We start from the raw sequence: 16,044 nt of genomic DNA, 5'->3' as shown, positions 1-16,044 counted from the left end.
GTCTTCATCCAAGCTATAGAGAGTTAGAATTAAGAACCCAGCTATGGTGCACATTATTAGAGATTGACATTGACAATTAGTACTTCTCATCCACAGATGTTCTATCATGCTATGTTTTCTCTTTATTCAGCCTATATTAATTTTTCTTATTCATTTGGATGCCATTTGAGACTTTCTATAATATCTTATTTATTTATTTATTTATTTAGAGACAGAGTCTCACTGCTGACAGCCTAGGCTGGCATGCAATGGCGTGATCTCGGCTCTCTGCAACCTCTGCCTCCCGAGTTCCAGCAATTCTCCTGCCTCAGCCTCCCAAGTAGCTGAGATTATAGGCGCCCGCCACCACACCCAGCTAATTTTTGTATATTTTAGTAGAGACGGGGTTTCACCATGTTGGCCAGGCTGGTCTTGAACTCCTGACCTCAGTTGATCCACCCGCCTTGGCCTCCCAAAGCGTTGGGATTACAGGTGTGATCCACTGCGCCTGGCCCTCATTTATTTTTTAACCATTGTATATCGCATTAGAGATTTGTTATGGGTCTTGTCGCCTAATTTTGCAATTTCAGCAAGACGTATTTTATTGTGTCTGATATATACACATATATATGTACATGTGGGAATTGGTGTGTATGGTGTGTTGTGTTTGTGTGTATGTGTATATATGTATGTGTGTATATATATATTTCTATATAATACATATCTATATAATATATATATATTTCTTCTTCCTTTCATATTCTTCCTCAGTGTTCAAAATTTTATTTTTCAAGTTCAGTGAGCCTTCTGCCAAGTACATTTTGTACTGTTCCGGTGAGGTACAGAATATGCCTTGTCAAGAGTTCATTATTCTGCTGTGCTAAGCCTTTCTAGGTGGGAAGCTCTTGCCTCCTGAATCATCCTTTCTTTTCAAAAGTCAAAACTTTAACGGGAAAAACAGGAATGAACATCTTTATGTCCTTATGTCTTAGAGATTTCTATTTCAGGACTTAAAATGCACTAGAAACATATTCTGGTATTTGTCTTATTTCTGATTGCATTTCCAATAGTTTTCCTGAAAATAGCATGCTTCAAGATTATTAATATGAGACGTATGCTAGGCCTGAGCCATGAAAGAGCCGCCATCTACACTGCATGTTCTGTCATTTCACATGTTATTATTCGTGTTTCCTGAGATTCAGGGACCAGTGTCTCACATCTCTTTTTCAGAGGAGCAGCTGTAAGATTGTCAAACATGTTTGTGCCCGTGAATACTTATTTCACACATTTCCCATAGACTAAAGACTTCTGTTCATTGTGATGCAACATCCTACAGCTGATAGATCTGCTTCCACAAAAGTCAGGTTTTCTGGGAGAGTAAACATGACTGATAAATTATTATATAATACACGTGATGTCATTTCTCCACTTCTTTCTCTATCCTATAACATGTTTAAAAATAGACAGCTGGCCAGGCGCAGTGGCTCACGCCTGTAATCCCAGCACTTTGGGAGGCCGAGGCGGGTGGATCGTGAGGTCAGGAGATCGAGACCATCCTGGCTAACACGGTGAAACCCCGTCTCTACTAAAAATACAAAAAATTAGCCAGGCATGTTGGCAGGCGCCTGTAGTCCCAGCTACTCTGGAGGCTGAGGCAGGAGAATGGCATGAACTCGGGAGGCTGAGCTTGCAGTGAGCCGAGGTGGCGCCACTGCACTCCAGCCTGGGCAACAGAGCGAGACGCCATCTAAAAAAAAAAAAAAAAGAATAGACAGCTGATGTAGTTTTTAAAAATTCTTCTTTCACTAGGTAAGAAAATTTTCTTCAATTTCTCATTAGATTATTTATTTCTGATTTTCAGTAACTCAATCATATATGTATGTATGTGCATATTTTCTTGTGTTTTATTATATGTAGTACATTGAATATTTTAAAAATTAGCTTTTTTATTATGTTAATTTAGCAATGTACAATAAATAATATCATTTTAGGATATTGCACTGTGACTGTTATAAACATACCTACATAAAATACAATTTCTATTTTCAGAATAAAAGACATTGTTAAGAGAAAAAGAGGCCCTAATTGTAATTGTCTAATGACCCACTTACTTTTTAGTGCAAAATAATTAACTCATAGATGTAGCTGCCTATTGAGTTCCCTGGAGTTGAATTGGCATTTGGAGCGCAGGTGTTAGTGGAGTATGCCATTGGGATCAACATCTGTAGATCACAGGAGAAGGAAGAACGACAGCGTAGAGTGACAGATGGAGCTGACATTCACTCTTAATGTCTCTTAATGGCTGACCCTATGGAAAAGCTCTGGAGCTAAAGTTGTCCATCAGTATTGTCAGTAGTGCAGGAAGGGGGATGGCCCAACGTTTGTAACCTTTCAGCAGTGAGTCGTTAGTTATATGCTATTCCAGAAGTGTGACCTGGGGGCAGGTGGCAATCTATAGCTACGGCAACAGGAAATTTTATGAAGGGATCTGAACAGTACATCCAAGTATGGACCATGTGGGTTTTCAGCTATGCATTCAGGGACGAGGAATAACAGTACAATGAAACATATATTATGCGCACTGCGGACATCAATACCATTTGGCAGTGAATTGTAGATGAGGCAATGTGACATTGTGGTGTTGAGCAGGGTTCTAGAATAGAGGTTTTATCCTTATCATTTACTAGCTTTGTGATTTTGGGCAACTAACACTCTGGGACTAGGGTTATTTACTTTTAAATTAGTATTTATAACAAAAATTATTTTCAGCTATGAATTAAAGAATTTAGCATCCTGTCCCTCATAAAGTTTTATAGATTGAACACAATATATCATGCAGGCATTTATTATAGTACATTGCATTTAATAAACACATTTTTAAAAATATGATTAGCTATTTTATTCATCATTAACTTCCCCATGGTCAAACAATACAGCTTCAAATCACAGCCAAGTCTAAAAAGTTTGTTGCTTGATCTACTGTCTCCATAGAAATATTATATAAACCAGTTATTCTTATACCTGTTTTATGCATCAACTTCACCTCAGTAGTTTGCTAAAAATACAGATTTGTGCTCCTATTACCTATATTCAGAGCCTCTAGGTTTGGAGAAAATCTCATTGGCTCACTTCAAAGTATAGGACCCTAAGTGTATGACTTCAGGCCGTCCGCATCCCTTTAAATCTTATAGCTATTAGGTCCATGTCCAAAATGTTCATTGCTTCCTCCTGCTTTGTCTTCCCACTATTTTCTTTCATCTTTAGTGTGGCTGTATTAATTTTTCTAAATAGGTTTCTCAGTTGGAGAACCAATATTAGCTTCTCTTTAATAATTGCCCCTTCGTGTTCCCTTGTCCATTTCATAAACTGAAACAAGAAAGATACACATCCCCATTTTATCCATTAAAGGAAATGTGAATCTTGAATGGCGGCTTGACTAAGTGTATTTTGTTTTGCTTATGTCTATCATAGATAACACAGCCAGCATTCTGACAAGGCGGAGGAGATTTAGTCGAACTGTTCAGGATGTGTATTATCTGCCCATTATGATCTCTGATGGTGGAATCCCCTCTCTCAGCAGCAGCAGCACCCTCACCATCAGGGTTTGTGCATGCGAGAGAGATGGGCGTGTGCGGACCTGCCATGCAGAAGCCTTCCTGTCCTCGGCTGGTTTGAGTACAGGAGCCTTAATCGCTATTCTTCTCTGTGTTCTCATTCTCCTGGGTAAGTCATTCTAAACCCTAAGTTTGCATGATGGCAATTCTGAATGAGAGGGAATCATTTTGACAAATCTTAAGGATTAGGCATCCATAATGTGGGTAAGGAAACAGCTGCTCCAATTTCCTATGAATTAATTTTCTCAATACTGTCATTAATCTCAAAATAGTTAGATTCAAATATGTTGGAAGAACTGAAATAACAGAAGAAGGATAAAATCGGAAAGAAATAGCTTTTGAAAGTGTATATTTTGGAAAGAATTAATATTAAAATATTCAGAATCCCACCGTGAAAGAGCTTTTAAAAATTTTTGGCAAGAATCTAAGCGGCATCATTCTAAATGAATCTGACCAAGACCCCAGCCCGCTTAGCTTCTGAGATCAGAGGAGGTCACCCATTCATTCAGCATGAGGGTGAGGGTCATATGGCCTTAGGGTGAGTAAATGTACAAAAAATGAGAGATCAAATATACAACAAAAGGACTTTAATTAATAACAATATTGTGTTGTATTGGAAATTTGCAAAGACAGTAAACTTCAGGTGCTTTTTCCCCTTCACGTGAAAAAAGAGTGTAACTACGTGAGATGACAGAAACATTAATTTGCTTGACTACACTAGGCATTTCACTGTGTAATAATAGTGAAAACTATTATTGGGAAAACATCATCATGTTGCACACCTTAAATATATAAATGAATAAACCATAAAACAAAACGAATCTGAAAACCAAATAAAAAATAGATAACTTGTAGAAACTTCTACTAGTTCACAATAATTAGTTAATCATTAATGTTAGCTAGTTATTAACATACTGACTAAATATTTTTTGGTCTTAGAGGGATATTAAATTTTATTGAATTTAATTATATTCCCTTAAAAACAATAATTTTTGGCCAGGTGCGGTGGCTCACGCCTGTAATCCCAGCACTTTGGGAGGCCGAGGCGGGCGGATCACGAAGTCAGGAGATCGAGACTATCCTGGCTAACACAGTGAAACCCCGTTTCTACTGAAAATACAAAAAAATTAGCCAGGGGTGGTGGCAGGCACCTGTAGTCCCAGCTACTCGGGAGGCTGAGGCAGGAGAATGGCATGAACCTGGGAGGCGGAGCTGGCAGTGAGCTGAGATCGCGCCACTGCACTCCAGCCTGGGCAACAAAGTGAGACTCAGTCTCAAAAAAATAATAATAATAAAATAAAATAAATTTTTTATTTGAAATTTTCATTACAGTTTATTAAAAAACACACTTTCTCTAATTTTACATTATCTGTTGTAATAATCTAAATCTTTTCACAGCCGCATGAAGAGCTTCTATAACTATAAACTCTTTAGAATGCTCTTTGAAACAAGATAGCAAATCTGTATTGTAATAACAAGAAAGATGGATGTAAGGAATCTTTCTGCTTCATCAAGTGGGGACCTGTGTCCAAAGTCTTTTTTCTTTCTCTTAGCAGCCTGTTTTTTATTCCTTTTATGGTACTGACATACATGAAAAGATAATTGACTGTTTTTCTGAGAAAGAGGTATTCTTGAAAAAATATGTTCCTTGTTTTGTTCCTGGGGTTGAAGACAAATAACTTGTATAGATGGAGTGGATATTAAAGTGTAATGAGCTTGGAAAGGAGAAGGGATTTGTAGGAAAGGGTGAGAGCATCCAGAGACTTGTGGGAGATGGCAAAGCTGGTGAGTTTTGTTTTAGGAGTGTAAAGAAAGGTTTAAAGCTAGAGAGTCCCATTATAAAATCTTCAATTTGCAAAAGATGACTGTGAATGAAATGGAGAATAGAACTCCTGGTGACAAGAGGGCATGTAGGGAAACCAGTTAGGAAAAGTCTGCCCTTGTCTCCCTTCGACACAGTACGTGTTAGAGTAGCATACTTATAACAGACCTGAGGAAAAGTGAATAATATCTAGGTACTTTCAATGGACTCAGAAAAATGATCTTTGATAATGTAGATACCTGCATGAGTTAGAATGGCCTCAAATATAACTTCTTATATGTTGCTGAATGTAGATCCTGAACTACCCTGAGCTAGAGGACACTGGAAGTCCACTTCATTCAAGTTGCCCAGCAAGAGAATATATGTAGAGAGATAATGGACTGGGATTACACAGTGAGAAACTACAATGTGATCACTAAATAAGGATGAGATAGCAGAGGACAGTGAAGAAGTGAGAGTAGGAAGAAAGTAAAGTATAATGTCACAAACGTTGAGGGAAAAGAGGGTATCAAGGAGCATTATGCTGTGTAGTAAATCTTGTCAACAAAGTCAAAAGATGCTTACAAGTTCAATAAATTGAGCACCAAAATGCTCAGTTGTACTTAGCAACATGAAGGATGGAAGTTTGGTGCACCAGAGCAAGAACTATTTCACTGCATTCCAGTCATTTCTAGCTCGTCATGGTGGCATGCACCTGTAGTTGAAGCTACTTGAGAGGCTGAGATGAGAGGATCCCTTGAGCCTGGGAGTTGGAGGCTGCAGTGAGCCATGATCACACCACCGCACTTCAGCCTGGGTGACAGAGTGAGACTCTGTCTCAAAAATAAATAAATAAATAAAAACAAATAAATATGTACAGTAAATGTATGGTGGAGAGGAAAGTCAGGAAAAGAGCCTTTAGAAACTTTATATGGCCGGGCGCGGTGGCTCATGCCATAATCCCAGCACTTTGGGAGGCTGAGGTGGGCGCATCACGAGGTCAGGGGATCGAGACCATCCTGGCTAACACGGTGAAACCCTGTCTCTACTAAAAACACAAAAAATTAGTCGGGCTTGGTGGCGGGCGCCTGTAGTCCCAGCTACTCGGGAGGCTGAGGCAGGAGAATGGCGTGAGCCCGGGAGGCGGAGCTTGCAGTGGAGCTGAGATGGCGCCACTGCACTCCAGCCTGGATGACAGAGTGAGACTCCATCTCAAATAAATAAATAAATAAATAAATAAATAAATAAATAAATAAAATAAACTTTATATATTTATTGGTCAGAACTGCTGTTTTCTTTAGATATTAACATACTTCTTTTTTGTGTATATTTGAAAAGAAGAAGAGCACAAACACTCCAGAAAGAGAAAACAAGGCTGCACAACAATTACCCTGGATCTCTCTAGAGTCCTAACTGAAGTCATAGAGAATAGAACGCAGGGATTTTAATGAGAGTTCTTCCAGCGTTCTTACTCTTAAAAGTCGATCTCTTAGGTGAAGCATGTTATCTTCAAATTTTGAGCTTGTTTATCATCATAAAACTATTTTTGTTTACTAAGATAAATATCAAAAATGTAATTAATGTGTTAAATGTCTAGGTACATGTTGAGGTGCATTATTGAAAGAACATTTTATGTTTTCATGGAATGATACTTCATTTTAATTGGTTTTTATGAAAATGTTTTCTCATTTGGGGTAAGTAATAGAACATTTGTAAATTTTATTATATCCCTCAAGACTAATAAAGTTACTATATGATATGTTTACTTTTTCATTTTTATTAGTTGAAACTCAAATATGCTGTAAAAGCATATTTGAGCCGTGATCTGACTGGGACCTCTGCCAGCTCCCCTTTCAGTCCATACCTCACATATAAGCAGGTGACCTAGGTGAGGCCACCGTAAGTGAGGCATGGACTGCTCCTTATCCTAGATATAAATTTCCGGATAAATGGGGATCGAAGTGGGTTTGGTGTGAACACGTGGTGGACAAAGAGAAGAAGATGGAATTGGTGAGAAGATGCTCTAAAAGCATATTTAAGTTTCAACTAATAAAATTAGTGAAAATATATAACTACAATTATATATTATAATGCAATATTTGCTTTTCATGGCATTGATTCGTTTTTATTGTTATTCAGAAAGTATCTAGCCAAGGGATACAGGATATAGCCATCTGTAATTTTAAAATAATGTTGAAGTTAATTTATGAGATTATGATTTTCGGCATAAATATCGACAAAACCAAATGTAGCAAAACTTTATTTTTGAACTCGTAATTCTGAAATAACGTTCAACCCTCGCAGCTAAACAAATTGTAAAATTAATATTTTAATATTAAAAAATTTTCCCTCTCAGCTTCTTGTTTGTGAAAATGGCTATGATTGTACAAACCCAGCTCTAGTTTTGCCAATAACTGTGTGATCTAAAGCCACACATTCAGTTTTTCTTGTTTCTATTTCTAAACCTGTGAGAATGACATTTCAGTTGAAAGGACCTTAGAGTCATTCTGTAGAATTTTGAAATGCTTATTCTTGTTTTATTAAAGATTGCATATGGTTCAACATTTTACAACATGGTCGGAATCCATCTATGTATACGTTGAATGGTGCTTGTCAACCAAAGAGGCTAACTTTAAATGATAGATATAAACATTATGAGCTGAGTTACTGTCTGTTGAGGTTACCTTTTTCAGGTCTATTGCATATGATGGATGGAAGAGAATTTAGAGTGAGCCTTTATGATGCAATCAGAATTTACCATGACAGTAGAGGTAGCTGAAATCCTCTCTCCCTCCCAGAGGCCTGACTTTTATTTCCCAACTTTACCCCATCTCTTGCCAGAGGGACTAGAGTAGTTGGCAAGGCAAATCTTGATCACACTAGGCATAAGTCATTGAGTCGGGATCTGACTGGGACCTCTTCCAGCTACCCTTTCAGTCCACAGCTTACATATAAGCAGGTAACCTAGGTGAGGCCACCATAAGTGAGACATGGATTGCTCCCTAATATTGGATATAAATTTCCTGATAAATGAGGATCAGAATGGAGTTGGTGTGAACACGTGGTGAACTAAGAGAAGAAGATGGAATTGGTGAGGAGATAAAGGTCAGCCTGCTTTTCATTTGAGCTATTTCAAATGGTTTTGTGTGCTACCCTTGGTTTAAAAATCTAAGGTTTCAGAGAGAGATGCCACTCCCAAGTGTGGCAAGTCACACTCCGTAAGTCAATAAAAATAACCTCCCTGACTCAGGCCACCTCAATTCTACCAAATTCAGTGCCAACATATGATGGTATGACAAAGAATCAAGTGGTATTTGAGGTTTAAAAAATTCTGCTATGCAAGCTACTTAGGGAGGAGTATGTTGAGATTCAGTATGGAATGGGTTCAAATTCAAGTTGTATGATAGTTTATATTATGGGAACTGAAAGCCACTTAGTATGCCAAGCACTGGAATGATACATAATATATAGGAAAAAATACATATTATGAGAAAACAAATACAAAAAATGTTTCCCCATCTTTGAATTACTTGATGATAAAATTAATTCATAAAACTCCACAAATTTATTCTAATTTATAATATAAAATGATAATCTCACGGGCATTTAAAATTCTGCCCAAACTTGAACAGAAGAAAAAGAAATTCACTAACCAAGGATAAAATATTTATTTTAGACTAAAGACATGTAAAAAATTCTACAGCTTATTCAAGTTTCAATCCAGTTGGCTTCAAATTATATCATAAATTATTTATTATTTTGTACAAAGAAAAACAAGTTCTATATCTTTTCTTTTTTTTGTAACACCACCTTGGTTCTCTCATATTGTATTTTACCAGATGACTCACTGTAAGAAGAGGTACCTTGCCAATGTGTATGCTTTGATAGGTTATCAGGGTCATTTGAATACATTCTTTTGACTGTCAGTTTTTAAATAAGGATTTGACTCTATTTATATGTATAATTATTATCTGCACTCATTCTTTTAAAATATACTTTGGTCTTAGGATTTTTTTTGGAAACATTTCATTTGTTTTTCAAACATTAAGAAATATTCTCCAGTACAATTAGGAGTTTGATGTTATTAGTAACCATAAGCTAATTTTTAAAAAATATCTTAAAATTATTTTCCTAGTGAGGCTATTACTGTTCAGGGTAATTCACTTAACACAATGTCACATTACCATTTTCACAGAGATTTTTTTTTTGTTTGTCCACATGATAATTGTTTATGGAGTATCTACCTGGTGCCATCTGCTCCAGAAATATCTGTGGAACCAACAGGAATGAAAATAAGTTCATCAGGAACACAATGTACAACATTTTTCTGAGTTGATTTGAATTTATCTTTAACTAGAGGGATCCTATGTCTGCATTTGCCCTGATGTCCTGACATAATTATGAACAACATCCCCTTTCACTCAAAAATGTCTCAGATTTTGATTTTATACATATATATATATAAATATATATATATATCTCCTTTTATTAAATAAGTATGTAACAAGCCTAGGAATCACTGAATACTAGCAAATAATATCCAGAAAGGTAGCAAATACTACCTTTTCTGGGGAAAAGGTAGATGTAAACCTTCAACGTTCAAATGTAAATGGTCTCTATATTTTGAATCATAATATATCTGAATTATTTTCTTAACTTTTGAGAAATAGAAACTATATGCCATGATAATTAAAAAGCCAGGATTATCCCTGTATTTCATTAAGTGAATATGATACATATGCAAAGATTGAAAAATTGCACAAATATTGAAGGATGCAAATTACCTCCATACCTCTATGGCAGTATTGATTACATATTCCCTGTTGTGTCTGCACATAAATTCCCTTGACATCAACCACCAACCAATTCAATATAAAAGAAAATAACTTGATTTATTGGTGAAGGTAAGAAATTGTATTATAATAAATTAGGCAGTCTTTATAAATAGGTCTTTCGATCTAGAACAGCCTCCTCATTTAATTATAAAGATGAACAGAGATATATATCGTGCATGATAAATCTAAACTTCTGAATACAGTGGAGTGAATTACTTGAGGATGTTGTTTGGAGCTTTGAATTAGAAAACTGTAAGGTGGATTTATGCTAAAATACACAGGCAGTTATTAAATGCATATTTCCTATGTTCAGCAAAAGCCTTTTTTACCCCAAAATAAAGGCATATATTAAGCAATGTCTTTGACATATAGGCAACGTATATGGGAAAATCTGTAATTCTGTGCATAATATTTGTAGATCAGGGCATGTGTAGCACCAACATTTCATTTTCAGCTTTCTGTAACCACTTCATTTTAAACAGTAGTAATTCAATGCTTCCCATGTCTGCTGTAGTGACCCTCATTGAATTTTCTCATTACCTTCCCAATGCTAATATCTTTTCATTTCACACGTTTCTGGATGGTTCTATGACTTTCTCTACAGATGTTTTTTTCCTGTCTTTTTGGTTCCTTCATAGTCTCCCATTTGCCTTTCCTCTGCAAAACTGGGTACCTCCCAGTGCACAGTGACCATCCCTTTCTCTCACTTTCCTTTCCATCTCTGGCTTTAAAATCTACTCCTCTTCCACAAGTTTTCTCTAGTTTTAAAACAGATAAAACTAGTCCATATAGATTAGAGTTATACATTAAAATGGTTAAGCTATAAAGAAGAACAAAGTAACCATAATGATAAAAGTGAAGATAAAAGTTACTTTGCAGAGGTAAGCAGTAAAAGGGCAGTTTCTGGGGGGAAAGTATGTTCTTTATCAGAGTTAGATAACCTGGTGTTTGATTCACAACCATTCATTCAAGTTCACTTATAATCAAGGTTGCCAGACACAATGCAGTATACCCAGATAAATGTGAATTTCAGATAAATAAGAAATATATCTATATCTGTATATAGGTATGTATGTGTATATATAACATAAATATGTCACAAGGAATAATATAATAATATTTGGAACATATGCATGTATGCTTAGCACAATATTTGCCTGTGTGTATCTCAAATATTATATGGGACACACTTAATACCTTATGTGTATGTGTGTGTGTATGTGTGTGTGTGTGTGTGTGTTGCAGATGGTCTCCAACCAACAATAGTTTGACTTAAGATTTTTTGACTTAACAAGGATGTGAAAGCAATATGCATTCAGTAGAAACCATATTTTGAATTCTGATTCAAAATTCTTTATATCTTTATTATAAAATACGTTTTGTGTTAGATAAGTTTGGCAAACTGTAGGCTAATGTGTTCTGAGCACATTTAAGGTAGGCTAGGCTAAGCTATAATGTTTACTAAATTATGTGTATCAAATGCATTTTTGATTTAAGATATTTTCAACTTCAAATGGGTTTATAAGAATGTAAGCTTACTGTAGGTTGAGAAGCATGTGTGTGTGTGTGTGTGTGTGTGTGCTGTTATTGATCTCAAATTCACGTTTAATTGAGAATCCTGCCATTTATTTTTGTTTGCTAAATATAACAACCTTAAATGTCAATCGAATGTACCTCCCTGATTATTATGAAGTAAAGAATGTTAAAAATATTAATGGGCATCATTATCACCATCATAAAGCCTAGAATATCAGCTGAGCAGGAAAAGAGCAGTCTATAGAGCTGAAGTAAATAATACTCAGCCTAGTAACACAGCCTATAACAAATTTGATGTGAGGGAACTATTTCTATTTAGTAACAGTTTAATTTCATCAAATAGAAACAGTTGAAAATATTGATAAATGGCCAAAGCAAAGTTCCCAAGACACATTTCTATCACATCTTCTAATGTTTGCAGCATTATTGGAAATAAAGACAAATCCACCATATTTAGCAAGAGCTATCCTAAGGCACATGTCCAGTTGGACACTCAGTTTATTATTTCATGTCTTTGAAATACTGAAGTAGAGTATTTTTATAGTAGAAATATCATTACCTGTGATGCGAGAAATCACATTATGGTACAAGCTCTTCCACTTGCCATCTGTGTGATCTTATCTTTTGATCTTGGTTATTTAGATACTCTTTCCTGAGTCTCAGATTCCTCATTCTCATTTATGCCTAGTGTTCCATTATTGGAACATTAAGCTTGTGGAAGTTATTTATGTCCTACTGCTCAAGGTTATCGCCAAAGTCTGATTTTTCACACACAAAAAATTGCAACCTCAGGCATAAATGGGTTAAAAATAGAGTAAAGCCACAGCTCTGCTGTGAGAATTAAATAAATAAGTTATATAAAGAACATTCATAAATCAAAAAATTCCTATGAAACAAGTTGTGTACAAATAATGAAACATTATTTTGTCCCTGAATGGGAAAATGCAATTATTAATGCATGATAATATAATTTTAAAGGATAATTGACAAAAGAGATCAACATTAAAATATTTCTGCTTTGATTTTCTACAAAGCATCAAAATTTAAAGGGTTTAACGTTAAGGCTCCTTCTTCCAATATTCCAGAAACTTAAAACATCTTTAGTGTATCTACCTAGAAGGATTAAATATCTATAGAGAGACCAGCTCACTACATTATTTTTTGAGTTAAAATTTCATATTATTTTTTCATCATGTGTTTATCTCACTTTAATCACTAAATGGTTTTACTGAAATATGAGCCAAGAAACCTACATCTTAGCAAACTGAGAGTATTGTGGTTTTCTATAGAAGATCAGCAATTCGCAATGTCTCCTGGGGTAATCATCTTTTACATTATTTGAGGCATTACAGTACCTTGCGGTGTTATTCAGAGAGCACAGAGTGAGTTGTGCTGCAATGCCAGCCTAACTCTGGAATGTGGTTAATGACGAATGGGAAAATGGGAAATTGCTGTTGTAAAATCTCTAAGAATTTCCTTCCTGTTTTCTTAATTCTTCATCCTTTTTCCATTCTTCCTCAGCAATTGTGGTACTTTTTATCACCCTGAGGCGCAGCAAAAAAGAGCCCTTGATCATTTCAGAAGAGGATGTACGGGAGAACGTGGTCACCTATGATGATGAAGGAGGCGGAGAGGAAGACACAGAGGCCTTTGACATCACAGCCTTGAGGAATCCTTCTGCTGCTGAGGAGCTCAAGTACCGGAGGGATATCAGACCTGAAGTGAAGCTCACTCCCAGACACCAGACATCATCCACCCTGGAAAGCATAGATGTTCAGGAATTTATTAAGCAAAGACTGGCAGAAGCAGACCTAGACCCTAGCGTTCCCCCTTATGACTCTCTTCAGACTTATGCCTATGAGGGTCAGAGATCAGAAGCTGGGTCTATCAGCTCGCTGGATTCAGCAACGACACAATCAGACCAGGATTATCACTACCTTGGAGACTGGGGACCCGAGTTTAAAAAGTTAGCTGAACTCTATGGAGAAATAGAATCTGAAAGAACAACTTAGGGGGTCAGTTCTTGCAACCTTGTGGAATTTGCTTCCTGAGTAAGTGGATATACAACCTCAGCAATGACAAGGAAGAAGTGTGGAAACAGTACTTGGAACTGAGGAAGCTGGACACAGCTCCTGTAGAAACAAGTGCCCTTTTCATGATCGAAACTGGGTTATTTAATTGGAAGAAAGTAAAAAAAAAAAAAAAAAGACAATACAAAGAAAAAGTTATTGTTCCTTGTGTATATTTTCAATTGCTCAATAAAGTCTGTGGTACTGTTTATTAAGAATACCTGAATTAAGCCAAACAATGATATTTGTTTCAATATATTGTGATTTATTTTTTTCAAAAGCAAAACTAAACAGAAAGGCTCAAGATCACTGGTGGTTATGACTTATAGGGGTGGTAACACTAATACAGGAAACTTGTGAAGGTAATCACAACCTCTTTTATCACTTTTCTGGGTGAAACCTTGAGAACCACACTCTGTTATTATAACAGATCTCATTAGCCTTGTCTTGTGTTTATATTACATGAGGTATTTCCACTCTATCATGGACTTGTATGTACCATTTCCCTTTGCCCTCCCCAGTTCTTTTCTCCATACAAAACTGATGGAGCATGGGGATTTGCTGCCTGCACTATAATGTATGCAACTTCAGTGCACCAGTTGTGTGCTGTACTGAGCACGAGACTATTGTCTCTATCCCGTACACCCCCTTTTATTTTAATGGGATACTCCTATTTTTAAATGGACAGAAAGAATAGTTTAAGGTATGTTATGAAAATCTGATATGTCAGGGAATAATTTAATTTTAAAAATAGCCACACACCTTATCTTCTACCAAATGTTGGGGAACTTTTTTTTTCCTTTTTTCCACTTGTTTTATTATATTTAAATCAGCAATTTTGGTCATTTCTCTATTTAAAATTAATTGTCAAATATTTTGCTGGCTGGTTTGTACTTCAGTCTAATTCACTTATTTTCAACACGAGCAGTAATTAAAAATAAGTACCTCACACAATAACAATGTAGTCTGAAAGACTATCCTCCAATGAACGTAAATGTCATAGAATCATAGTTGACTTACATTTATTCCTTACACAGTTTCAGATTTTTTCCATCTCACTGATAATTAGTTTGGTATCAACAGGAAAATGTGTAGGACTAGGAGCAAAAAAGGAGATTCACAGTTATTATCCTCAGATATGTTTCCGAAAGTCTCTGTGTTCAGGGTCCAAACCACAAAGTAGAGATGGCAATGACTTCCCTGCCCACCTCACAGGGTTGTTGTGAGGATTAAATGAGCATCTGTAAAATGCTTTGCCAACTGCAAAGTATTCAATTGCATAAAAGCTTGCAGACGCTTATCTAATTTTCTAGTTTCATTAGCTTATAAATATATATTTACATGCATCTGGCATAAAATATTATCACAGGAGAATTTCATGAAATCTTCAACAGTGAAGCTACTGTTTAAATATATGTACACAATTCCAATTATTTTAATATTTTCATAAGCTAATTTCTGAGAATTTGGGTGGGGCTTTTTTTTTCAAATTGTTTTAGATAATGTTTTGTTGTTGTTGCTATTGGCCTTGAAGTAAGAATTCATACCATAATGGTCCTATTTTCTAAAACTGGCCACATCTATATATTTCAGAAATATTGAAATTCTTAAATACATGAAATAGGAATTAGTTGACACCGGAGTTTTTCCTTTGCTCTTTAAATTTATCATTATCAGTGTCCCCAAAAGTTATATGACATTTTCTGTCTGTTTCTACCCATGTGCAAAATTTTGGATTTTACCTCTGTTTGCAATTGCCCTGTGCTATCATATTATAATTTGAGGTATGGGAAGTAAGTAAGCTTAATTTGAATAATTCTCAATTTGTGTTTTAAGCCTGAGGAATAAAATGTAATTTAAGCTTTTTACGACATTTTAGTTTTCCAGATGCTGCTTTATCCTTTTTAATCTCATAATGGTGTGTGTTCCAGTGTGAGGCTGAATCTGAAGAGGCACTGAGGGGTGTGGGGAGTAACCTCTGGATATACATGCTCTGATGATGCTACTTCTGGATTACATTCACCCTAAAAGAAGGGTAAAATGTGGGCAACTATTGTGGGTACAGGTGTTTTGACTTTTCTCTGCAAAGAGTATCAGGAATGTCAGGTTTTGAAATTCCATGAGGCTTTTGGATTTAAGCTTCAGATAAACTACACACAGAAGAAAACTATGAAATCACGTATCACTAATATGTTTCAGCACGTATTTAA

General features: G+C 35.9%; 1 protein-coding gene across 20 annotated transcripts in view; it reads left to right on the top strand.

Annotated features, from left to right (window-relative positions):
* Nucleotides 1-15,707, top strand: part of CDH18 (cadherin 18) — a 1,104,418-nt gene extending 1,088,711 nt beyond the window's left edge. For 15 of the 20 annotated variants that reach the window (XM_005248228.5, NM_001349562.2, NM_001349556.2 and 12 more), the window contains 2 exons: nucleotides 3,451-3,702; nucleotides 13,287-15,707. In XM_005248228.5, the coding sequence (XP_005248285.1) occupies nucleotides 3,451-3,702; nucleotides 13,287-13,777 (743 nt within the window). In that variant the 3' untranslated portion in view covers nucleotides 13,778-15,707. Of the gene's footprint in view, nucleotides 1-3,450; nucleotides 3,703-13,286 lie in introns of those variants that run through there. The other 5 variants (NM_001349561.2, NM_001167667.3, NM_001349560.2 and 2 more) reach the window with 3 other exon arrangements.
* The last annotated feature ends 337 nt before the right edge of the window (nucleotides 15,708-16,044 follow it).

Source organism: Homo sapiens, chromosome 5, assembly GCF_000001405.40.
Source record: "Homo sapiens chromosome 5, GRCh38.p14 Primary Assembly".
NCBI classification, from domain to species: Eukaryota; Metazoa; Chordata; class Mammalia; order Primates; family Hominidae; genus Homo; species Homo sapiens.
Note: the sequence above shows the minus strand (reverse complement) of the source record. Positions and strands in the feature narration are given on the sequence as shown.